The 26,452-nt window shown below is 47.0% G+C and overlaps 1 protein-coding gene across 1 annotated transcript in view, besides 2 other annotated features; it reads left to right on the forward strand.

The window, feature by feature from the left end:
• TGM3 (transglutaminase 3) overlaps positions 1-21,731 on the forward strand; it is a 45,079-nt gene extending 23,348 nt beyond the window's left edge. Inside the window, exons 8-13 of the mRNA NM_003245.4 lie at positions 6,501-6,604; positions 8,772-9,017; positions 12,654-12,962; positions 15,768-15,925; positions 20,506-20,639; positions 21,086-21,731. Of these exons, the coding sequence (NP_003236.3) occupies positions 6,501-6,604; positions 8,772-9,017; positions 12,654-12,962; positions 15,768-15,925; positions 20,506-20,639; positions 21,086-21,233 (1,099 nt within the window). The 3' untranslated portion in view covers positions 21,234-21,731. The remainder of the gene's footprint in view (positions 1-6,500; positions 6,605-8,771; positions 9,018-12,653; positions 12,963-15,767; positions 15,926-20,505; positions 20,640-21,085) is intronic.
• Positions 10,619-11,201: an enhancer, noted in NCBI's record as "OCT4-NANOG hESC enhancer chr20:2310613-2311195 (GRCh37/hg19 assembly coordinates)". NCBI's record gives its function as "activates a minimal SCP1, AML or CMV promoter by ChIP-STARR-seq in naive H9 embryonic stem cells {active_cell/tissue: H9 hESC(naive)}" and the evidence as "EXISTENCE:reporter gene assay evidence [ECO:0000049][PMID:30033119]".
• Positions 20,337-20,837: an enhancer, noted in NCBI's record as "H3K4me1 hESC enhancer chr20:2320331-2320831 (GRCh37/hg19 assembly coordinates)". NCBI's record gives its function as "activates a minimal SCP1, AML or CMV promoter by ChIP-STARR-seq in primed H9 embryonic stem cells {active_cell/tissue: H9 hESC(primed)}" and the evidence as "EXISTENCE:reporter gene assay evidence [ECO:0000049][PMID:30033119]".

The raw sequence follows: 26,452 nt of genomic DNA on the forward strand, positions 1-26,452 counted from the left end.
GTTAGGAGGCACGGGGTGGGGAGGCCACTAGTAGAGGCTAATTAGCAACACAGCATGGTGTGTGATGCCCAGGCAAGTGACTGAGACAGGGATACCAGGAACTCGGAGGAAATCCTCAAGGAAGGCGTCCTGGAAACAGGAAAGTGAGGCTTTTAAGCTAAATTTAGAATTAGAACCCAGGTCTCCTGGTTAGTGATTCACACTGCCCCCCACATCAGCTTAACATCACCTTTGGGACAAGTAGGAGCTGATGGAGACATTCCAGGGTGGCTCTGTGGTCATTTCTGTGGCCTCATGGGAGGGGGCCAGGCGCAGAAGCTCTGACTGTTCCTGAGGATCTTGTCACCCCTCCCTTCCTCTCCCCTTTTCTGAACCTTCTCAGAAAGCCAAGGGAGCTGATAGTTACTCCCTACACCATTCCCTACAGCTGATGGTTGGGGGAGCCAGCCCTGGAGGGCATGAGGACAGGGAGTCCCAAGCACTAGCTCCAGCCCTACCACCCAATTGCTGTGAGGCTTGCGCAAGGCAATTTATCCTCCTGGTCCCAAGTTTCTTCATATGTGAAATATAAGGGTTGGCCTAGGACTAGATGATTTCTTAAGTCCTTTGCCAGCTTAAATGTTTAAATTCTCGGGAGCTTCAGCCCACTCCACTTTCTATAAGGGAGCTAGCCCTCCCAAGGGAGCCCTGCTGTTCCTTCCTCCTTGAATCCCATGCAGGGGAGAGCTAAACCAAGAGCCAGTTTCTGCCTGGCGTGAAATTACTAAGCTATTCTTATAAGGGCAACCGGAGTTTGGACAGAAAACCTCTGACATGAATCTTTGTATGTTACCAAAAAGTGTTGAAAGCTTTAGAACCGTGCCCAGATTTGCCTAAAGTAATAGAATGTGAGAATCAAGGGAGATTAAGCATTAGAAGTGCTTAGTAATAGTAACAGCAGCAACTAATAATTTGTTGAGCAGTTGTTGTGTGCCAGGTACTGTTATAAGTGCTTAGATTTCATCTTCACAAATGACGTAGGCATTGTTATTTTCATCCCCAATTTATTTTTCATGGATGAGAAAACAAAGGCCCCGAGAGAAGTAACTTGTCTAAGGGTAAACACCGGGAGACATGTAGACATTCTAAGCGCATAACATTATGTAAGTTCCTTGCCTTTGCTACACCTCAATTTCCCACTTGTAAAACAAAGGGCCAGATCAGGGGACCTCAGTGACATTTTCTAGGCCTTTCTTTTAATCAGATTCACAGCAGCCAGTGGGGTAAATTTTTTTCTAAGCCACTCTGCTCGTGCCAATGGTTTGGCTTAAGAGTCACGCAGTTCCGGAGTATTCACTCTCTTCAGAGTGAGGACACTTTTCGGGGGAGCTTAGTTTGGGATGCTTCTTTGAGATGTCCTCCTTCGGGTCCACTGCAAAGGAAGTCTCTGGAGCCTATTCAGCCACCGAGCAGCAGCCGAATGATTTGGAACAGTTTAGCCAAAGTTATCTTGACTTTTCTGGCTTGTTTTCTTCATTCATTTGGCTTGATCCCCCAATTTCTAGAGTCATAGATCTGACTCTACCTGTAGACTTTGCAGAACTCTGAGGTAGAAGGTGCCTAGAGACTGCCCAGCCCTGCCAGGGAGGTGAAGTCAGGCAGTGCCTCCAGCTGTCAGCACCCACACCTCAGCCAAGCCCCTGGCTCCTCATGCAATCTCTCCACGGCCTCTGCCTCTGAATACCTGCTTCCACTAATCCTGAACTGGCTCCTAGGCCCTTAGTGAGGAAGTGACAGAGAGTGGTTTCAGCCCAGAAACAACTCAATTCAGCAAACATGATTCCATGCACATCTGCACTGGACTCCGGGCACCAAGAGGAACAAGATGCAGGAACTGTGCTGGAGGAGGGTTTTTGTTTGTTTGTTTTGTTTTATAACTAGGCCTTAGAGACTGAATAGACGAGTTTACAGCTGCATTAAAAGCTTGGCAATTATGGAGTAGCAATGAAATCAATGAATTATTTGCAAGAGTCAGAGACAGCACAGAGGTATTATTGGCACTCTCTTGGCGTGTCAGGAAAGGCTTTTTTGGCAGAGGTAGTATCTGAACAAACTTTGGGAGGACAAATGGGAGTTTACCTACAGAAGGGCAGGGTTTGGGGCCACTTTCTAGGCAAGGTCTCCTAACTCTGTGATTTCAAAGGTAAGCATAGCTCAGTTGGTGTCTGTAGAGCAGTGTTTTATAAACGTCAAAGACTGCATGAGAATTAATTTGTGTGGGGAAAGATGAGAGCAGCGGAAATCTGCACTTTTTAATAAATGCCTTGGATAGTTCTGATGCCCGCAGCCTGTCCTCTCCTGAGCTTATGCTCCTGAAACCCTCAGGAAAGGAGTGGAGCCCGAGGTTGGGGGGTGGGAGACAGCGTGGCACACAACCAGAAACCCACACCGGAATTTCCACATGGCGCCACTGGGCATTGGAAAGATGCACATCCCAAATATTTCTGTGTAACTGAAGTGGCTGGCTTTTGCATGAGGGAGGAACCAGGATGCAGTTGTTATCTGCTCTGCCTTAAATTCCTGCCTTGCAAGCAAGTATTAAAATACAGCTACTTATCAATTTTTTTTTTTTAACCAGCCTGCCCTTCCCCTTGGGTGCTCTGCCAGGAGCAAATTGAGTGTGAAACTTGGTGTCCTTATTCACTTTCTCATCCCTCCCTTGCTCCTCTCACCCACCTGGGACCATCTTCCCACACTCCTTCCCTTGCCTTCTCCTTGGTGAGTTCTAACCGATCATGAAGGCCTGTTCAAAAAGACTCCCTGGATCCTGGAGATCATTTTTATGATGCCCTTTTAAAAATAATTATAAAAAAATTCAAAATACATACAGAAATAAAAATCATTTCTGATCTTATTCACATATCTTCAACACTTGGTAGTTTTCCATTCATCTTTTCTCTCTGAGTTATTGTTATTTACAGAATTGGGATGATACATTTTCCAAGGCATGAGTAGAAGACGGAGCATATAATAGACACATCCCACTTTTTCCCACACCTCGAAACCAATCACTTCACCATTAGTTTTAGTCATGTGTTTTTTACTAAACATTATATCATGAGCATTCTCCCTATGTCATTAAAAAATCTTCAAAAATAAGATCATTTCAAATACGTCGTAAGTGCATCATATTCTCTTATATGGAATGGAACCTATGTAAAGTCAGGTTACATAAAATGGAATCTACTGTTAACCTGTTTCCCTTTTTTAACCCCAGCTGCCTGGATTCAAATCCCACTCTGCTTAATTACTCACTGTAAGACCTTCTCAAGTCACTTAACTTCCCTGAACCTCAGTTTCCAGAGTTGTTGAATGGGGAATAATAATCATTTCTGTCTTTTAGGGTGTTGTAAGGATTAAATAAGTTAATATATGCAATAACACAGGACTCAACTTTCTGTGTTAACACTGTGTTAGCTATGATCATCCAACTTACATATATTTTCTAATTATAGAAGTAATGAGTAATTGACATGATAGAAAATAAAAACATTATAGAAATAAGTAACATAAAACTTAGTTTGTATGCACTATATATATAACACATACACCAAACTGTTAATGGTGGATATCTAAGAAAATAGAATTATTGTAGACTTTCTCCAATGTTTTATGTATAATTTTTTAATGAACAGCTTTATCATACATCTACATATATACACATAGGTTTTTTTCTTTTTCCTTTTTTATTTCCATAGGTTTTTGGGGAACAGGTGGTATTCGGTTACATAAGTTCTTTAGTGGCAATTTGTGAGATTTTGTTGCACCCATCTCCTGAGCAGTATACCCTGAACCCAATTTGTAGTCTTTTATCCCTCACCCCCTTCCCACCTTTTCTCTCTGAGTCCCCAAAGTCCATTGCGTCATTCTTATGCCTTTGCATTCTCATAGCTTAGCCTTGACTTATGAGTGTGAACACACAATGTTTGGTCATACTGATTTTCTTATTTCATGATATCTCTTAGACATCTCTCCATGTAAGTACTAGATTGATTTTGCTTGTCCTTTTTGACAGCTGTTTGATATCCCATTCCATGGCTCTGCCACCATTTATCTGCCAATTCCCTTATTGATGAACTTTTGCTCCAACATTTTTGCTGTTACAAACAATGCCTTGGTGGACACCTTTAGATATACATGTATGTGCACTTACGTGAGTTTTTCCATGGGAGAAATTCCCTGATGTGGACTTACTGGCTCAGTGAGTATGTAGATTTTTACAAGTTTTTATATTCATTGCCAAATTGCTTTCCACAAGGTCATAGCAATTTAAACTCCCACCAGTGGGGTATGACAGTGCTTGTTTTCCCACCTGGAAATGAGCACCACAACGAGTATCACCGTATGCTTTAATCTCTGTCAGTCTAATAGGTGTCATCTATGTATCTCTGTCATGTTATCTCTTTGTCATTTTAATTTTCTTTTCATAGTACTGAGGTTAAAACTATTTTCATATGTTTGGTGGTTATTTGTATTTCTTATAAAAATTGCCTGCTCGTTGCTATTTATGGGCATGTTTTTCTTTTTCTATTTCTTATTTTTTCATCACTTAGTTCAAGGAAAGTATGCTTTCTCTTATCAATTTGTAAGTACATTACAATATTGATACAGTAAATCTCTATCTAGCATGTATGTTGGATATATTTTCTCTGCTTTATTGATTTTTTTCAATCATTTGTCTCACTTTGCCTTCAAATTGGATAATTTCTAGTCATCTATCTTCAAATTTATTGACTCTTTCCTCTGTCATCTCTATCCTGCTATTAAGTTTATTTATCATTTAATTTCAGATATTTGTGCTTTTTCCAGTTAAAATTTTTCCATTTGGTTCTTTTTTTCATATTTTCTATTTCTCTGCCCAAAGTTTATCTCTTTTCATTAGTTATGAGCATATTTTCCTTTATTTCGTTGAGCCTCGCTCTAGTAGCTGCTTTAGTCTTTGTCTGACAATTCCAACATCTGGATTATTTTATGGTGGGTTTCTGTGGATTATCTTTTCCCTTGAGGATAAACCACATTTTCCTGGTTCTTTGTTTGTTGAGTGATTTTGGCTCATACCCCAGACGCTGGATGTGTCTGAATTCTGTTCTCTTGTTTTGGCTGCCTATCTTGGGTCACTCAACATGCAAACTGTCTCCCTTGCAGTAGGCAGTGGCTCTGCTCTCAGTTCAGGGCTTTTATCTCCAGCTGAACAGCTCATGGTCTGCCTCATCCATGCATGATTGAGGGTCACCTAGAGGTTTGGGCAGCTTCCTTGACTCTTTTCAGAATTCCCCCCTCACTCTCCAGCAACCCAGGTTGGTTCAGGCTCTGCTCCTGGTTCCTCAGATCAGAAAGCTGTGGGCTGCCTGTCGAGTTCTTGCTCCATGTACTTTACCCCAACTGTGGCCTTTCCTTAGAGCAAACTCATAAAAAGTGCAGCTTCCTCTACGTTCTGATTCCTCTCTAAAATCATAGTGCTTTGATCATGCTCAGGTGTCTTTCCTAGTTTTTCATTTTTTTCCCCACAGTTTATCATTATATGCAAAAGGATTCATCTGTTTTGAGCTTATCCTCCACACCAGAAACAGAACTACAGGTTTGTTTGTTTACATGTAACTTCAATATTTTTACATACTCAAATATATGAGTCTCTTCCTTTATGCTTTCTGAAATGGGTGGTCTGCTTAGAACTATCTTTTCCACCTCATGAGTATAGAAATATTTTTTTCCACGTTGACTAGAACTTGGATTTATGTCGAACTTATATTTTCTTCATGTTGAACTGAAAAGTGCCAAGACCAGTGTGACTGTAGTTTCCATGGGAGTGGAGAGGAGAGAAGAGGGCAGAATTGGGGGACAGAATGAGTAAGACCTTGGCTACCTGGCTGTGCCCGGTGAGGGGTGAGTGGTGACTGAGGCTTACTAATTGAGACATAAGACAAAGAACATTTGAGGACTGGCAGGTGTCATTCTTCAGTTCAGATCCCAGCCAAGAGACGGTGTGGCTCTTAGATAAGTCAGCCACTCCTGCAGCAACCCCATTCATTTTCGGCCAACACCAAGCACAGAAGCATACCCCGCCAGGCAGAGGGAGAAAGCTGTGTGGGTTTGCCCCTGGGTGGCTGGCTCCAATCTGGATTCGTTCTGCTCCTTAGAAAGGTGCATGCTGGTCAAGGCTTTGACTTTTGAGTTAGGCATACATGGGTCCACATTTTGACCCTGCCATTGTTAGATGCTTAACTTCTCTGAGCCCAAGTTTCCCTTTTTATAAAACGGGCATAAAAATGGTACCTATTGCACAGTGCTGTGAGGATTTCCACGAGACGATGCTCACCAGGGCTTAGCATAACCGCCGTCACAGGGCAAACTCACTCGATGCATGTTGTCATGCTGCACTGTTGGGGCAAAGATGTGCTGTCTTGCCACTCATCTGCTGTGTGGTCTTGGGCAAGCGCTGCAGTCTCTGGTTCTATCTGCAGGAATTTCCATGTCTGGAATGAAGGCTGGTTTGTGAGGTCTGACCTGGGCCCCTCGTACGGTGGATGGCAGGTGTTGGATGCTACCCCGCAGGAAAGAAGCCAAGGTAACTTCTCTGGGTGTGGTTCTGAGTCGTGAGCCTCACAGTTATTTACAGCCATGGACAGCAGCATAGGGAAGTAACTCCAAAGCCCTCTCCCTCTGGAATGCATGATGGGATTAAAACAAAAATAGTTTAAAAATAGATCTCCCCTGCTAATTTTGCTTGGCTCGGGCTGCTGTTTAAATGAGTGCCTGCCCTGCACCCACAATGGCCACTGTTGCTGCACAGAGCCTTGGCACAGGCCAGGTGGGCAGAGAGAGCAGCCTTCCTCTGCCAGTAATGATTTTCCTTCACCAACTGCAGCAGCCTCTCCTTCCCAGCACAGAAAATTCATGGTTCCCTGTTGCCCTTGGGGTTTAGTCCACATTCTCCACTGGTCACCACCCACAGCAGCTCTCTCTGCCACACCAAGCTCCCCCTTAGGCAGGCTGCCTCTGCCATCCCTATCCCGGGCCTCTGCTTCCTCCTCTGGCCTCCCTCTGTCTCCTGCCCCATCAGGGGTTGGGTCCCAGGCTCTCCTGGAGCCTTTCCTCTTCCCTTCTCTGACCTCTAGAGCATGACTTGTCTGTTACCCTCATTTTCAGTTGTTCTTTGAAACATTAAAAAGTGATTTATGGGGCTGGGAGTGGTGGCTCACACCTGTAATCTCAGCACTTTGGGAGGCCAAGGAGGGTGGATCTGTTGAGATCAGGAGTTCAAGACCAGCCTGACCAACATGGTGAAACCCCGTCTCTAGTAAAAATACAAAATTAGTCGGGCATGATAGTACATGCCTTAATCCCAGCTACTTGGGAGGCTGAGGTGGGAGAATCGCTGGAACTCAGGAAACGGAGGTAAAGCCGTGAGCCGAGATCATGCCGTGGCACTCCGGCCTGGGAGACAGAGCAAGACTCCGTCTAAAAAAAAAAAATGTGATATATGAAGTAATATGTGCATGTAGTTGAAAAAAATTCAAACTATTCTAAAAGGACTAACAATAAAACTTAAGTCTTACCACACCCCCAACCCCTAGCTCCTCTACCAGAATCAGTGCACGTTACTAGATTTGGGGGCTTGGAGGTAACTGAGACATTTGCTAGGCCACAATTTTCCAAAAGTTTCATTGCAACCCATTAGTGGTTATAAAATCTAGTTAGTGGGCTGTGTCCATCATTTTAGGAAAAGAAAATGAAATGGAATGGAACGGAAAGCAGGGAAAAGAACATAAACTATCAAGGCTCATTAGATATAGTTAGACTAGGCTGGGCGCAGTGGCTCACGCCTGTAATCCCAGCACTTTGGGAGGCCGAGGTGGGTGGATCACGAGGTCAGGAGATCGAGACCATCCTGGCTAACATGGTGAAACCCCGTCTCTACTAAAATTACAAAAAAAAAAAATTAGCCGGGCGTGGTGGCGGGCGCCTGTAGTCCCAGCTACTGAGAGAGGCTGAGGCAGGAGAATGGCGTGAACCCGGGAGGCGGAGCTTGCAATGAGTCGAGATTGCACCACTGCACTCCAGACTGGGCGACAGAGCACGACTGCATCTCAAAAAAACAAACAAACAAACAAAAAAGATATAGTTAGACTAAAGACCATTGTCCTGTGAAACTTTTGTTTCTGTATCATATGTGTGCCAAGATGTCAAATGTATTTCTTTCTAGGGGTTGTGGTGAAAAAAGCTGAAAGTCACTGACATCTATCTATCTATCTATCTAAGCTTCCTATGCTGAGTGCTAAGAAGAGGGAAGAAATGGTCAGGCTTGGGAGCTCAGAGGAACAAGAGGTCCCTGCAGGCTGCCTGTTCAGGGAAGTCTTCCTGGACTAGGAAGGTGATGAGCTTCTAGGCCAGAATGACTTGCAGAGGTAGAAAAGAGGCAGCCACCCTGAGCACGAGAAAGCAAGACTTTCCTCTTTAGGAAACAGACCAAGGACAGTGGGTCAGCATGGATTAGGCGCCCGGAATGCGGAATTGTGTAGTCTTATGTAGAGGTTGAGTTCGACCAGCAAGAGAATCATAGCCCGGGAGGGTCTCTGCAGAATGCCAAATGAGTGGGACACACAGTCAGGGGTGAAGGAATTTGGGCGGGGCAGAGGCAGGGGGTTGCAGTGGTCCTGGAAGGCCCTGGGGAATCGGGCACTGGGTAGGTTGTGGCCTTGGCATATATCCAGCCTCTGCATCTTGGCCTCCAGGGGTGTTCCAGTGCGGCCCCGCTTCGGTCATTGGTGTTCGAGAGGGTGATGTGCAGCTGAACTTCGACATGCCCTTTATCTTCGCGGAGGTTAATGCCGACCGCATCACCTGGCTGTACGACAACACCACTGGCAAACAGTGGAAGAATTCCGTGAACAGTCACACCATTGGCAGGTACATCAGCACCAAGGCGGTGGGCAGCAATGCTCGCATGGACGTCACGGACAAGTACAAGTACCCAGAAGGTAGGAGGGACGCTGGCGGGGCAGTGCCGCGAGAGGTTCTATTGTGGGAGGATGGCTCTGAGGCTGGAGAGGAGAAAAGTCCTCACCTCCCCCGCACTGGCAGCCAGTTCTGCCTGAATGATAGGATTGCTCCCTAGCACCTAACATCCACCTCCCAGGACTGTTTCCGGAGGGAACAAAACCATCACGGGCAGCTGTTGTGCCAGTGGAAGTTTGCTGCAGGGCACAGGTGGCTGTCAACCCAGCCCATCTCCAGCTGTGTCCCTGTCTCAACTACACAGCTAGGGTGACAGCACCGTGACTGAACATCACAGGGAGAGACATGGCCCCCATGAAAGGCCCCCAAGGGCTTTGGGAGAGATTTCTCCATCAGTCTGCTCCCTTAGCCTCTGAGAAACTCAGGGAGAAAACCATCTGAACGAAGAAAGGGACAAAGAAACCCAGAGACCTGAGCTTGCACTGTGCACATTTGGAGGTCTCCCAAGAAGCCAGATGAGGTGTGATTACATGGTGTGAATGCCTGAGCTCCTGAAATCTCAGGCATGCTACATTGCTCGTCCCCCTGAAGTCACCTTGGAAAGCCAGTTGCTGCGAGGCTGCCTCGACTCAATTATATTCACTGCCCAGAGTTTCTTTTGAAACCAGCAGCGCATCTCTTGGAGCATTCTCAATGATGATAAAAGTTCTGCATTTGAAGACAAAGTTCATTTTTAGAAACAGCCAAAAGTAATTTAGTGCTTGCTCTTGCAGGCCACAGTCACTCCTAAATGGGGTCAACATTTCACACTTTCTAAAATGCTTTGAAATTGCTCATTCCATTGATCTTCACAGTTGGTTCTGAGGGGTCAAGAAAAGCATCCTCATAAAGGTGCACACAGTACCCACAAAGTAAGCCCTGAATCTCTAAGTGACGGTTGGCTAATGGTGTTGGCCGAGTTTACAAAAAAGGAAAGCTGAGCGCAGGTGATGGGGTCTGACTTCAAGTCCAAGTGGGTGCCCCCCCAGGTGCTGGTATTTGTGAACATTTGGAGGCACAGTTTTAGGGTTATGAGATTGGTGGCCTCAATTTGGCCCCAGTCTTCCTCTGCAGGTCATTCCCAGGACTGAGCTCAGATAGACCTTTGCTCAGTCAATAAACATATTCTGAGCCCCATACTGAGTGCCTGCTTCATGCTGGGCCTTGGGGATGCAACAGAGGACACTGCAGATGGGCTGGAGGTGTGGGGATGTAGGACAAGTATTTTCAACAATGTTATGACGTAGAAACAAGCATAGGGGGTCAGGGAGCAAAAACTCGGGGGCGGAAGGTGAACTCTAGCCCTACCAGCCATAATTGTGTGACCTCGAGCAAGTTTCCTCTGATCTCTGAGCCCTCGCTTCCTCACCCGAAGAATGAGAAGAGCAATGCCTGTCTTCAGCGGGATTTAAATGAGCTAAGGTATACAAAGTGCCAAGTGCAATGCCTGGCATATAGTCAAGACTTGATAAATAGCAGTGGTGATCTTTATCAATTTGAACCTCTATAGCCTCACTGGAACAATGACTTCCCAAGGTGACTATTTTGCAGGCGCTGCTTACATGACTGTACGATCCTGTGGGGTTCCTTACCTTACCCCACACCTTGATCTCTGGCTGTCTCAGCCAAACTTCCTAAACAATGGAGAATGGGCAGGTCCGTTGTGGGGGTGGGGGAGGGGGTCCCTGAAGGACTCCCAGCAATGCCCCAGCCCTTATGCGACAGGACAGATCACCCTGCCTGATGTTGCCCAGATCTTCTTACCTAATGACTCTAGCTTCTCTCTGAGGGCCCCAGAGAGGAAAAGCTCATAAAATATGTTGCTAAGTATTGATGCAATAGCAACAGCAAAGGGAGAAAACAGCAGGAGGAAGCTTAGTCTTGAGTAAACCCAGCAGGTGACCTATATAGGCATCAAGGCTCCAAGCCTCATTGTGCAAACACACCTGCTTCAAGGTCCCAGGCACAGAAGGCTCAGATCCGTGCACTGCCTTCAGCTCTGGGTTGAACTTACAGCTGGACTAGAGGATGGGAAGGCATCAAAAGGAACCCAGCCCACCAGGAACTACCAGCTTAGGTAATCTGGCTGCCTGCCTTCTTTTTAGCAGGGTGTGTGGGAGGAAACTTAGACCAGGGGTCCAGACACCAGGGAACTGGCCCCCTCTCTGCCTCTGCAGATGACTGGCCCAGTCCATCTCAGAGTGGTCTGGACAAGTTGTGTCTCTTCTTAGGGCCTTAACTTGATAGGCATGGACGAGTTGGCCTCTGAAGTCTCTGCAAATCACATGTAATTTATGGGAAGGGGCTTGCTGTATCGTAAAATGCTTACAATAAGTCATCTGGGCCAGGTGAAGTGGCTCATGCCTGTAATCCCAGCACTTTGAGAGGCCAAGGTGAGCAGATCACCTGAGGTCAGGAGTTTGAGACCAGCCTGGCCAACATGGTGAAACCCTGTCTCTACCAAAAAGGCAAAAATTAGCTGGGCTTGGTGGCGGGCACCTGTAATCCCAGCTACTCGGGAGGCTGAAGCAGGAGAACCTCTTGAACCCAGGAGGTGGATGTTGCAGTGAGTTGAGATCATGCCACTGCACTCCAGCTTGGGTGACAGAGTGAGACCCTGTCACAAAAAAAAAAAAAAAAAAAAAAGAGAGAGAAAAAAAATAAAAAAAGAAAAGAAAGTCATCCAGTGCCTTAAGCATTTCACAGGTTGTTGGGGAAGGTGGGAGAATGTAAGTGTGGTCTGCAGACGTCAACATGGTCACTCTTCCTTGTGTACCTGTGTTCCTGGAAGGTCAACACCTTCTCCTAGATCTATCTTCAGGTCAAGCCTTTTGTGAACTGCTCAGTCAGCCCTGGCTCAGAGGCTTGCAGTCGGTTACTCAGCTCTGTGTGCCCTCAGAGCCATTTTCAGGTACATCCCTGTCATTCTCTGTGGGCTACTTACGCCATCACACTCAGCAGCACCCATAGCCTGAGTCAGAGTCAGAAAACCCATCTTTTTATCCAGTCTTTGCAGTTTTGAAAACTGAAATCTCTGGACAATTTCAACTAGTCATAACTTGGAACCACACCGACCATGGGAAGTCCTTGTCAACCGGCACAGATCAAAATGTCACTCCTTGACTCTCAAAGCACCTTTAGAAACAAGGCAGAAGAACATGGTTTACCAAAAAAAATTTTTTAATTAAGTCAGTTCTAAATCATCACCTTGCTTTTTGGCTTATGAATGTATTCTAATCTTTTTCAGCTCAGTTCTTATGATTTATTTTGAAATTATCTGTTTTTTAAGTCTCACAAAAGACATTTTATCAGAAAAAAATGGAATCTAACCTAATTAACGCAAGCAAATGATCAAGCCACATAGTAATTGTGTGCAGGTGTGATAAAGCTTTTCTACAGATTTTGGGAAATTTAGAGCTGATTAGAAAAGCGCCAGAGACCAACTGGTCTGTGAGTCTCCGGTTAAGACAGGCGAGCTGGAGACCTGTGAAAGTCGAATGCCTGCTAGGGCAGCAATGGAGCCAGCACCAGTCCTAGGCCGCCTGTCCAGGCAGGGTACTGTCCTTTGCCCAGGTTGCCATCACATCCCTGGCATGTTTCTGTCTTTTCCCACCACACAGGCTCTGACCAGGAAAGACAAGTGTTCCAAAAGGCTTTGGGGAAACTTAAACCCAACACGCCATTTGCCGCGACGTCTTCAATGGGTTTGGAAACAGAGGAACAGGAGCCCAGCATCATCGGGAAGCTGAAGGTCGCTGGCATGCTGGCAGTAGGCAAAGAAGTCAACCTGGTCCTACTGCTCAAAAACCTGAGCAGGGATACGAAGACAGTGACAGTGAACATGACAGCCTGGACCATCATCTACAACGGCACGCTTGTACATGAAGTGTGGAAGGACTCTGCCACAATGTCCCTGGACCCTGAGGAAGGTAACGCATCCCGCAGTTGGAGGAGATCCACGAATCCGAGGTAGCCAATGGCCTTCTGGGGCTGCAGGGTGTCTGCTGGGCTCCAGGTTAGTCAGCTACGAATGGAGCAGCCAGCGGCCCCTGTGGTTAAGCCATGTATTAATGCTTTGGAAGTTTCTGTCTCTATGAACAGAGTGATGCCAACCAAATGTCAGGGTGGTGCCAACCAAAATCCTTTTACGCCCCAAGGGAGGAAGGAGGGAGGCTTTGGCAGTTCATAGCTATGGCACAATATCCCTTACAAGTATATACCACCTCACACAGTTTGACCGTCTAAAAAAAGGCAGATTTTCAGTGTCCATCTTATAGAAGCAGAAAGTGAGGCTGGGAGAGATTTGTGACTTGCTTCGGAGATAAAGTATCATAGATAGTAGTGGTAGTGCTGAGTCTTGGTCCTAGGTTTCCTGATACTGAGTCCAGAGCCACCCCCTGTTTTCTATGTTGTATTGTTCTTACCCACCTCACCCCCACTCCCACAACAAATCGCTTTTCAAATTTGACCTCAGGAGGGTGGCAATGACCACGGGACCCTAAACCTTGGCCCATGGCCCTCCCACAGCTGCCACGGGGTGGGTGGACCTTCTGGAATCCTGACAACAGTGACAGGTTTTCTTAGAAGTCTGAGCGTTTGGGAGGAACAGTGACTCCTTGCCCTTGGGTAGCAGGGATGGGAAGGGAACAAGGTGGAGCAGATAAAGGTTGTGCTGTGGAAGGATTAGAATGCAGGTGTGCCCACATTGGTAAAATCCTTCAAGCTGTCATGAAAAGTTTGGACTTACAAGCCGGATTAACAGGGCAGGGTGGTTATTTGCTTCACATAAGGAACTAATAGAAACTGATTAATTATACTGCCCATCTTGAAAGAATTCTGTCTCCAGAGAAACTGAGAGGTGTCACACCTGTCAGAAAGAAGCATCCCCTAGCAATCTGTCTTCTGGCAGAATTTTAGCAGAAATCTTTTCAATATATGAAGCAACTGCCTGGCTGTTATTGACCTTAGAAACTCAAAGAAAGGGCTTTTTTTGTTTGTTTGTTTGTTTTTGTTTATTTGTTTTGTTTTTAGACAGGATCTTGCTCTGTCTGCCAGGCTGAAGTGATCATAGCTCACTGCAGCCTCAAACTCTGGGCTCAAGCAATCCTCCTGCCTCAGCCCCCCAAGTAGCTGTAGTCCCAAGTAACTAGGACTACAGGCATGCCATTATGCCCAGCTAACTTTTAAAGTTTTTTGTAGAGATAGGGTCTCACTATGTTGCCCAGGCTAGTCTCAAACTCCTGGCCTCAAGCAATTTTCCCGCCTTGGCTTCCCAAAGTGCTGGGATTACAGGCATAAGCCACCATGCCTGGCCAAAAGAGCTAATTTTGGAAATCAAAAAAAATTCACAGGATGGAAATAGTTAAAAAAAAACCGTTTTGCAGAATGGAATGGAAAAGAGAGAGAAGGCAGGTGTAGTGGTCTTAGAGTCTGGTCGTCTGCCAAGTAGTTGCTAGATGACCCTGGTTAAGTCTCCCTCCCTTTCTGAACCTCGGAGGTCACTGACGGTGAGGGTTGGACCAGCTGATGCAAGGGCCTGTCCTCTCCACATTTGGGGCAGGGATGGCAAATTCCTTCAGTGCTAAAAGCAGAGGCAGCTTCCTCCTCACAGTCTTACCTACAAGAGTATGTAATACTGTGGGTGCTGGGGCATCCCCAGGCCACCCAGCATGACAGCCTGAGGGAAGGGAGCACCTAAGCCCATCAGGGTAGGGAAAGGGCCCCGCGGCCCACAGGGTCAGAAGAGAGGACTTAAAGCGTGGGGAAGGAGCCGGATGCATGGAGAGAAGCCAGGGGAGGCATTTCCATCTGGGGGAACCATGTGAGTCAAAATATGGGGGCGAAAAGGTGCCTGTTTTGTCTGCAGAACAAGAAGTGTGGAAGGTTCTTTTAAGGGACAGGTGATGCAGGGCCAGGTTGAGGGGTCTGAACTTTATCTAAGGCAATGAGGAGCCACGGAAGATTTTTGAAGTCACATGTGACACAGAAGAAGAGTGATTTAGAAAACAAAACAGAACAAAACGAAAAACAGCTTTCCAAAGCTTTGTCTGGCTGGTGTGTGGATGATTTAGAAGAACTAGAGACCAGACCAGAGGAATGAAGGGGATGCTGTGGCAGTAGAACCCCAGGCTATTAGATGACGGGGAGGATCCTAAGCGTTTGTTTAGCCAATACCCTGGCTTCCCTTCCTACCTATTATTGTGTTACTGTCATGATTGCTACTGTTGTTGGCAATCAGGTGGCATTTGTATTCTTCCACTGCCCCTCAGAAGGACACTTGTGGCTGGGAGCAGTGCTCACGCCTGTAATCCCAACACTTTGGGAGGCCAAGGCGGGAGGATCCCTTGAGTCCAGGAGTTTGAGACCAGCCTGGACAACATAGAGAGACCCCATCTCTACAAATAATTTAAAAAATTTTAAAAAAAAAGGACACTTGCCCTCCAACATTTTTCGGAGTCGGGAGGAAGCAGCGGTATCTTTAGCCCCTGTGAGCCCATCCTCCTGGGAATCTGCCCAGCCAGAGAGAGTCCTGGGGCCTCTTTGCCCCCTGCTCTGGAGCCCACCCTGACCGGGGGACGCTTCCCACAGGACCTGGCCCAAGGAGGGCTCAGTCAAGCCCGGGGCTGCAGATCCTCCCACCAGCTCACCCTGCCTTGGCTTGGCATCTGTTCTGAGGAAGGTTCAGAAGCCATCCCCACTCCCCCTCACTCGGATCCCCTGGCTTCTCCTTCCAGAGGCAGAACATCCCATAAAGATCTCGTACGCTCAGTATGAGAAGTACCTGAAGTCAGACAACATGATCCGGATCACAGCGGTGTGCAAGGTCCCAGATGAGTCTGAGGTGGTGGTGGAGCGGGACATCATCCTGGACAACCCCACCTTGACCCTGGAGGTAATGGGGCTCCCCATCCTGTGGGAAGGGGTTCTGCCCCCAGCCAGCCCAGCTCCCAGGAGCCCCACTGTCCCTGTGAGCCACAGCTCTCCCAGAGGGCAAAGGAGAGTTTTTTCTTGCTGGGAGGGGCAGAGAACTGGGCCCAGCTTCGGTCCAGCCTCTGCCAAATAGCCAAGAGCTCCCACTCAGGCCCGTGTTCCTGCTCCCTGTCTGGTGAGATAAACGCGTGCATTTGCCTGGCTGCTTCTCAGATTCTAGTTCAGAACCACTGGGGGCATCAGCTGAGGAGGGGCCTGGGGGACTCTTTTCAGCTCATTCCCTTCTCACTCAGCTACTGAGCATTTGCTGTGTTCTGGGCCATGCCAGGCTTGAGATCTGCTGTGTTCTGGGCCATGCCAGGCTTGAGAATCACAGACAGGCACAGGTGTAGGTCTCACACACAGCCAGCTGATGTGCCAGGGCCACAGCCCAGCCCTCTGTCATGGACAGATCAGAAATAGGCCTGACCCACAGCATCTCTCCCCTGTCTAGACCCTGGAGTTACAGAATTGTGGACTCTTAGGAGCCTAGTCACATGCTCCTGTACTCTCATTTCACACAAGTAAACCAAGGCCCAGAGAGAAGGGAACAGCTGGCCACCGCCAGAGTCAAGGCTAGGCCTCAGAACCTGGGACTCCCAGCCCATGCCCCTCCAAGGCGTCCTGGTACATCACCAGCCAGCAACAGCATCTTCAAAGTGGCTGAGAACAAAGACCCCTCTTTCTCTGCTCATAGGGCTTCCTTTACTTTGCAGCATTCACTCCCAGGCTCCTTCTCAGGAGCCCAGGAAGGTGGGGCTTGCAGGTCTGTGGGAGGCCCCTCGTGCCACTCTGTGTCTTCCTCAGCACTGGTAGGAGCACCTGTGCGGACTCCAAGCCTGTCCCTCACCCTGTAGCCCCTGTGCCTGATCCCCACAGCCCAGGGTGAAGGGTGCTGGAACCAGGGAGTATAGGTCTGAAGGGTAAAAGGCTGGACAAGGACAGGCAGACAAACGGACAGAGAACATGAGGTTTTCCCTTGGGGCCCAATCAAGAGCCTCATGGGCCAGGCCCTGCCCTCTCTCATCTGCTGTACCCACCGTCTGCCCCAGTTGTCTAGATAGAAATTGCCTTTCCCTGTACAATCACAATGCCACAGGTTTCCCAAGCCCCAGAAACCAGGAAGAGCCAGATAATCATGGCTGCCCTGGCCCGCCCCTCCTTAAGCTGTAAGCTGGCTGCAGGCGTTCCTGACCTCAGAAAGGGCAGGGGGATCTAGGATGCTGGCTCTGATGCCGGGCCTGGTTCTCCCACATAGCTGGCCTGCAATTGCACCCTTTTACTGTCCTGGTTAGTTTGGACTGTGCTTCAGGATGGGGGAGTTGGTCCCCTACCTTAGGGGCTAGAGAGTCAGTGACTGGGCAGCCAGTCTGGGGGCTGAGAAGGGCAGTCGTTCAGGCCTTGGGCCATGTAACCAAATGGATCTGGCATTGTATCTAAACCCCTCCATTGATCAGTGGTGACACTGAGCAGGTCCCTTAATCTGAGTCTCAGTTGCTCCAACTCTGTCACTGGGACAATAAATTACTTCCCTTGCAGAGTGTCATTTCCTCAGGGAAGCCTTTCCTGAGCTCCCAAATTAGGCTCCCAAATTCATCTCAATTATACACCCTCAGAACATTCTGTCCTTTTCCTTCAAGGCATTTGTCCCAGCTGGAATATTATCCTTCTTTGTGCAATTATTTGGTTGTGAATCCCTACCCAACCGTAAACTCCATGAGGGCAGGCATTACCTCTGTTCTGAGTTCATCACTGTCTCCCTTAGCACAATGTCTTAGTGGATAGCCACTATTTGTAAAAGAGAAATAGCCCCTTGCTCGGGGCATGACTGGAACAGATCCCCTTGGCTCTGGACTTGCATTCTTCCCTGCACAGGAAAGTCAGTCCAGGCTTGTGCCCTGCGTGTGACAGCCTCTCCTGCTTCACAAGACATTTCTGAGAAACACTCCCCATCTCTCTAGACATGGTGGACAGCAGAGTGCCCATTCCAACTCCTGAGGCTAGAAAATGATACTGGGTGGCTGCCAGTTCAGTTATGAGAACATTCTGTACTAAAGTGATCAGTGTTTAAAAGAACTTAGTTTTTGGCCAGGCGCGGTGGCTCACTCTTGCAATCCCAGCACTTTGGGAAGCCGAGGCAGGTGGAGCACCTGAGGTCAGGAGTTCAAGACCAGCCTGGCCAACATGGTGAAACCCCGTCTCTACTAAAAATAGAAAAAATTAGCCAGGCATGGTGGCGGGCACCTATAATCCCAGCTACTTGGGAGGCTGAGGCAGGAGAATTGCTTGAACCCGAGAGGCAGCGGTTGCAGTGAGCCGAGATCACACCACTGCACTCCAGCCTGGCTGACAGAGTGAGACTCCGTCAAAAAAAAAAAAAATTAGTGTTTTTCCCCAGTGTATTCCCCATTATGTTCCCTTATCCAATGTCCTCAAACCTTCTTCCAGCATTATCTTTTATTCAACACTTTTGCTATACATCTTCCAGATTTCCATGGCAAGTCTACTTATCTTTAAGATACTACAATATCTTTAGAAAGGAAATCAGAATATATAAGGCTAGAAATGTGCCATCACTGACTCTTTTTAAAAATTTAATCTTTTTAAATGACTCCTGATCTTCCTTCTTCGAGGCAAGTTCTTTCCTCCACCTAAGCCTTCACCTAATCGAGACATTCTTGTCTCTATTGAACGGATCAATGCCTAGCTCACTCAGAGCAGGGCACCGATTTTTAAACTGGAGAAGGTGATCTGTATGAAAAGATAATAATTTGGGTAAAACCCCATTATCTAACCTGGTACTGACTGGCAATTAGCACTGAGGACCTTAGACCACAAAACCAGGCCAAAAACAATCTGAACATTGTTTCCAAAGGGTGATGTCCTCCCAATTGATCCATCATCTGTGACAAGCAAACTCAGGTTTTTAGTGGCTTTTATCCTTTCCTCTGGGTACATTTACAGAGTTGGGTCAATAGGAGAGAGTGGTAAGCGGCATTAAAAAAAGAAAAAAAAGCATGGAAATCTCAAATTAAATATCACCATGAAAAATGTGGCAACATCTGTATAGCTTTCTTATAACCCAATAGCATAAAATTATGCTGCACTCTTCAAATTATGTCATACACTTAAATGAGTTTCATGGAAGAAATGAAAATATAGACCATGATGTGTAAAATGCTTCAATTACTCACAAATTACTGGGAGGTATTGCAGACCTATCAGAAACAGCAAAGGCTTTAGATCCAGCTGGGCTCTGCTGTTTCCTTGTGTGTGAATGTTCCAGGTTATTGAATCAGCCTGAACCTCAGCTCTGTCACTGTAAAATGGTTGCTCTGAGGATTAGTGACAAGAAAAACAAAACACAGCAACAACAAAACCCAGCAACCTCCGGTCATCCTCAAAAGAAGAAGAAATCCAATAGCCATAAAATGTCCATTTCTATGTCCAAAATGCTTTCTTCCCCATCCTTGATCTCATTTGACCCCTTCTGGGAGGGAAGAGATGATTGTCCTTCTTTACCAGATGAGGAAGTTGAGGCGCAAAGAGATGACTTGTCTGCCCAGAATGAATTACGGCTGTTTCTTGGCAGAAACACAACAGCTTTCATCTTTTGGTCTGAATAAATAGTCCAAATTGCTTTTCTGACCCCAAACCCAGCCTTCATCTGTTCTGATCACTGAGCAAGGACCGTGTGGTATTAGAGCTCCGCTCAGACTATAAATGGTGCACAGGGAACCTCTGGGCTCTAGAAGTTTAGAAGGACATTGGTAGACTGGGGTGTCAGCAGAGGAGAGTAGCCTGGGTTGAGCTGGGGGGACCCAACCCCTGGAAAAAGAGTTAAGGGAGCTACAGTGTGAGCCAGGGTGTGAGCAGCTGTGGGGCCTGGGGCTGCCCTTTTCAACACCTGTGGGGCCTCCCAGAGACGGAGGTTCAAGCTTTAAGGGAAGAAACAGGACCCATAAGCAGGAAAGCCAAGGAAAGTAATATTAAACCCAGCAAGTGGCTGGGCACAGTGACTTACATCTGTAATCCCAGTGCTTTGGGAGGCCAAGGCAGGAAGATCACTTGAGGCCAGGAGTTCGAGGCCAGCCTGGGCAACACAGCAAGACCCTGTCCTTGCAAAAAATAAATTCAGCATGAAAAATGTCCTGACCCTCACAGAGCCCACAGTGGGGTTGGGCTGTCCTGGGAAGCAGGGTCTGAACTGGAGTCGGGGCAGGGAAGTAACAGTGTTGTTGGCTGCTGCAGGGGGCCCCTTCCCCCTCAAAGCTGAGGTTCTCATCCACAGCACAGGATAATGTCCTGGGACCATCCTGTGTATTGGGGGGCAGGGGGCGTCAGACACAATGTGCCTGGCACCTAGGAGGGCTAAATGGTCTCCCCTTCTTCATCCTCAGTGACATCACCCCCTTCACTCAGTCACCCTGCCCAGCCCTCACCAAGGTGCAGGCAGGGGCTGAGCAGCTGGAGTCCTGACTCGGCAGCCCCTCTCCCCCATAGGTGCTGAACGAGGCTCGTGTGCGGAAGCCTGTGAACGTGCAGATGCTCTTCTCCAATCCACTGGATGAGCCGGTGAGGGACTGCGTGCTGATGGTGGAGGGAAGCGGCCTGCTGTTGGGTAACCTGAAGATCGAGTGAGTCCTGGGCCTAAGTGGCCGGTGCAGGAGGGCGGGAGGGGGCGGGGGGGCCCTCCAGATCCCCTGGGTGGGACAGACAGAGCTCCCTCTGACCTTGGGTTCTTTACTCTTTTGGGGGTCTTGGAACTCTAGAATCTGCTTTTGCATTTGGTTTGGGGGTTCACCAAACTTGAACTCCTGAGAAGAACAGGTCACCAGAGCTAAGAGCTGGCCTTCAGGGCTTAGAATATTTGGGAGATCATGGGACCCCCCCCTCCTGCTTCCCCTGCTGAAGAGTTCCAGGGCTGGAGGGGCCCCGTAACCCAGAGAGACAGCTAGAGGGAGCTAAAGAAGCAGTGGCCTTGCCCAGCCTCCATCAGAACAGGACAGGAGGTCACAGGAGGCCCGTCCAGCCCAAGGTCCGTGTGTCTCGTATCAACACTGATCTGTGCCCTCCCCATCAGCGTGCCGACCCTAGGGCCCAAGGAGGGGTCCCGGGTCCGTTTTGATATCCTGCCCTCCCGGAGTGGCACCAAGCAACTGCTCGCCGACTTCTCCTGCAACAAGTTCCCTGCAATCAAGGCCATGTTGTCCATCGATGTAGCCGAATGAAGGGCGCTGGTGGCCTCCCGTACAAACTTGGACAACACGGAGCAGGGAGAGCTCACCATGGAATGAACCCCCCGCCCATGCTGTCCGGCCTGGGAAACCCTCTCCATCTCCCAAGGCTGCCAGACATGGACCTCCAGGCTCCAGCACATCCCCCTCTCCTCTCCCCCAGGTTGGGGCTGGGTCCACCCTGTCCTATGACTTGATCACTTTTGCACATTCCCTGGCCGCTTCTCCCCAGAGCTGCCTGCTCTGTGAGCCCCACAGCCCTGCTCATTCCTCACGCCCTTCAATGCTGCAGGATGGACTGGCCCCTGACCCAGGGACTCTCCAAACGGGATACAGGAGAGAAGCTGGTCTAGACTGTTTGCTGATCCCCAACCTGCACGGGGCATTCCTGCTTCTCTCTCAGGCCACCACAGAGGGCAGGGGATGGTTAGTCACCTGCCCCAGCACTCACACCCTAACTCAAAATAAATGTTAAATAAGTGCGATCACACAGCACCGACTCTACCTGACTGCTGTTGCACCTAAGGTGGTGAAGGAGAGAGGAGGCTGTGGCCGTGACCTTCTGGAGCAGGGAATAAATTTGAGGAGGCCATGTTCTCTGTGTTTCAATGTCCAAAGGGAGTGGGCTTGATCTGCAAGGCTGTAGATGCAAAACTAGGGAAACATTTCAAGCCAGTTTAGGAAAACTTTCTAACATGATGTCCAAAAATAGATGAGGCTGCCTTGGGAGGTAGCTCCTGGTCACAGAAGGCTTCAAACATTCTCTGTGTGGTTGGGCAAACTTTTCAGGCCTCTCTACATGCATCAGAGTGAGAGGGGACGTCACAGTTTTTGCTGGAACCCTCTGGCAGAGCTGGTCCCGGGGGTGGCCCAGCCTCTGCTCACATGGGGCTCCACGCTCCTCTTGTGGCCAGGAGCAAATGCGTCCTTCCGCCAGCCACAGCGCTGTTAACTCAACCTGAACCTTCTCTGCCTTTATACACACTCTGATGGTTCCTCAGCCTTTGTCCCTTAAAATAACCTCAAACAAATCCCATTAGCTTTCCTGTCGCTTGTGCTGACTAATCCCATTTTGACAACTCTGCCTCATTTTCTGAACTCAGGAGACAAGTAGAATCTAAATAGAAACCTCAACCTCACATCCAGCTCAAAGCTTCTCCCCTGGGTGCAGCGCAGGCCTTACTTACGCCTGCAGAGCAGGCACTGTCCATCTCTCACCTTCCTTCCCTTCCTTCCCCGAACTGGGGAGTTGCTAGATCCCTCAGAGTTGGAGCAGAGAGAGAAGAAGAAAAGTGACAGTTGTCTGTATCACTGGTGCTGATGTAATGCAGCCAATGATGGTCTCTGTGTCGCCAGTGTTTAAATGCAGGCTTTCTGTACTGCTTGTTGCCTGAGCCCAGGAGTTCAAGGCTGCAGTGAGCTATGATTGTGTCACTGTACTTCAGCTTGAATGACACAATAAGACCCCATCTCTTAAAAAAAAAAAAAAGCGGTCAGTAAATTAGGGATTTGGGGTTGAATCACTTACCATCCAGCTGCCTTGAACCCATCCTCATCCCATATTATCCCAGGCAATATGGATTGGGTACATCTGGGTGGATGCCCTCAAACGTTTTGACTTCCAAACTCCTCTGGACCCTCAGAGCCCATAGACAGGCCTGGCCTCCTTCCTATTAAGATCCAGTAACTTCTCTCCCCACCTCCTATCCCATATGGGAAGACACTGAAGAATTCTCTCTCCTGCAGCAGGGGCCCTACTCAGGATTTATTTCTGCCTCTTCTCTTGGCCTCCAGGCTGATGTCATGTTAAGTTGCAGTGTAACTCAGTTGGGGATGTGCCATATCTGATAAAGAAATAAAGAGACTATAGTCCAAAGGATCCGAAAAACTAGGATCATGTGACAGCAGGATCACGGGAGAACTCTGGGAGTGGATTTGAGGGTGCTTAATCAAGGAAGCCATAACAGGAGCCTAAACAATGAAGAATTTATTGACTTGGGGCCATTCTTTTGTGATACGAGATTTAATACCCAGGTGAGGATCCTGAGAGCTGGTGCAAACTGGCTTAGTGGCTCCAAACATCTGGAAGAAGTGATGACTTACGCTAAGTACAGTTGAAATGGCTGAATTCCTATGCTGCATGATAGAGGAAAGAATTAAAAGGCTCAGGGAAATGGGCGTGCTGGGGTTGACATATTATGAGGGGCCAGGAGACATCTTCCAAAGGATTGTGTTCCCTCAGAGGGCCCAGGGGACCCACCCACCATTCACCAAGGCCATCAGAAATGAGTAGTGACAGAGGCATCAACATCACTAAGAAATTCAGTGGTGGCATCCTCTACATTTAAAGCAAAAATAATAGCAACATTGTAGAAGTAAAATGTATGAAAATAATAACACAATGGCCAGGAAGGAAAAAAAAACACTGATGTAAATTTCTTATATAATACATGAAGTAATAAAATATTAATTGAAGATAGACTGTGACAAGTTAAAGATCTGTATTATAAACCTAAAGAAACCAGTAAAAGAAAAGAAGGCCGGCGTGGTGGCTCACACCTGCAATCTCAGTACTTTGGGAGGCCAAGATGGGTAGATCACTTGAGGCCAAGAGTTCAAGACCAGCCTGGCCAATATGGTGAAACCCCATTTCTACTTTAAAAAAAAAAAAATTATCCAGGCGTGGTGGCACATGCCTGTAGTCCCAGCTACTCAGGAGACTGAGGCAGGGGAGTTACTTGAACTTGAGAGGCAGAAGTTGCAGTGAGCCGAGATGGTGCCACTGCACTTCAGCCTGGTTGACAGAGTGAAACCCTGTTTCAAAAAAGAAAGAGAAGAAAAAGAAAAGAAAACAAGCTGGCCATGGTGGCTCACGCCTGTAATCCCAGAACTTCAGGAGTCTGAAGCAGGCAGGTCACCTGAGGTCAGGAGTTTGAGACCAGCCTGGCCAACATGTCAAAACCCCGTCTCTACTAAAAATACAGAAATTAGCTGGGTGTGGTGGTGCATACCTGTAATCCCAACTACTTGGGAGGCTGAGGCAGGAAAATCTCTTGACCCTGGGAGGTGGAGGCTGCAGTGAGCTGAGATCGCACCACTGCACTCCATCCTGGACAACAGAGTGAGACTCCATCTAAAAAAAAAAGAAAACAACAAGAAAACCCAGTTATCAGTAACAAACCAACAAAGTAAACGCAATGTAATAGTAAAGAATACTCAATTAATAGAAAAAGAAGGCAGAAAAGGAGAAAAGGGAACAAAGAATAGTTGAGACAGATTTTAAAAATAAGTAGCAATATGGTAGATTAAACCCAACCATACTAATAATCACATTAAATGTAAATGGCCCAAACACCCAAATAAAAGGCAGCTATTGTCAGATTGGGTAAAAAAGCAAGACCCAACTATATACTGCTACAAAAAATCAAATTTGAATATAGAATAGAAATTGGTTAAATGTAAAAGAATACAAATTATATACCATACAAATAGTAACCATAACAAACCTGGAGTGGCTATACAAATATTAAACAAAATAGCCAAAGATTGTTACTAAAGAAAAAGAATATTTTTGAATGATAAAAGAATCAATCCATCAAGAATAAAAATTATAAGTAGTCTCAATGTTCTTTGAATGCAAAGAAATTAAATTAGATGACAATAACATAAATATATCTGGAAATCTCCAAACATTTGGAAACTAAAGAAAAGACTTCTGAATAACCTATGGGTCAAAGGAGAAATTTTTAAAGAGAATTATAAAGTATTTTAAACTAAAAACACAGCATATAAAAATGCATAGGATGCAGCAGAGGAATATTTATAGCACTAAAATGTCTATATTAGAAACGAAAAAAATCAATGAACTCACCTTCCACCTTAGGCAGCCAAAAAGTGAAGAAATTAAACCAGGCCGGGCGCGGCGGCTCACGCCTGTAATCCCAGCACTTTGAAAGGCCAAGGCCCATGGATTACCTGAGGTCGGGAGATCGAGACCAGCCTGAGCAACATGGAGAAACCCCGTCTCTATTAAAACTAAAAAATTAGCTGGGCGTGGTGGCAGGCACCTGTAATACCAGCTACTCAGGAGGCTGAAGCAGGAGAATCTCTTGAACCTGGGAGGCAGAGGTTGTGGTGAGCAAAGATTGCGCCATTGCACTCCAGCCTGGGCAACAAGAGCAAAACTCCGTCTCATAAAAAAAGAAAGAAATGAAGAAATTAAACCTAAAATCTAAAATAAATGGAAAAGGAAATACCAAACAGCATAAATCAATAAAACAGAAAATAGAAAAACAAAATAGTAATTCAATGTAACTAAAAGTGGGTTCTTTCGGAACATGAATAACATTGATAAGTCTCTAGCCAGACTGATCAGCAAAAAATAAGAAAGACACAAATTACTAATATCAGGAATAAGAGACCCTATAGCTATTTGAAGAATAATTTAGAAATATTATGGACAAACTTATGCATAAAAAGCTTGACAACTTAGCTGGGCATGGTGGCTCATGCCTGTAGTCTTGGGAGGCCAAGGCTGGAGGATCACTTGAGCTCAGGAGTTCAAGACCAGCCTGGGCAACATGGCAAGACCTTGTCTGTATCAAAAAAAATAGCCAGGCACGGTGGCACACACCTGTAGTCCCAGCTATTCAGAAGGCTGAGGTGAGAGGATGGTTTGAGCCCAGGAGGCAGAAGTTGCAGTGAGCCAAGATTGGGCCATTGCACTCTAACCTGGGTAATAGAGCCAGACCCTGTCTCAAAAAAAAAAAAAAAAAAAAAAAAAAGGTTGACAACTTAGATAAAATGAACAAATTCCTTGAAAGACACAAACTATCAAAACCCATTGAGGAAGAAATAGATATCCAAAGTATCCCTATATCTATTTTAAAATTTGAGTTTGGAGTGAAGTTCAGTAGAAAACTCTCCAGCCGAGCCTAACACAAATTGCTGGCCATAGAACTGGTTGTCGTCTTGTCACCACATTTTCATGTGGTTTGTTATACAGCATAGGATATTATTTATTGTTGTATTATATTAATTATCACCACGAAAATATTTATTCACTCTCCAGTGCTCAGTTCAAATGTTTCCTCTCCTGCAAAACCTTCCCCATCTTCCTCCCACATCACTGCATCCAAACACACGAGGTCTCTTTTTTTCTCTCTATGCTTTCCCTTCATTGTCTTTTTGGACCACTTGGCTTAAAGTCGTCT

Source organism: Homo sapiens, chromosome 20 (genome assembly GCF_000001405.40).
Source record: "Homo sapiens chromosome 20, GRCh38.p14 Primary Assembly".
Lineage (NCBI taxonomy): Eukaryota > Metazoa > Chordata > Mammalia > Primates > Hominidae > Homo > Homo sapiens.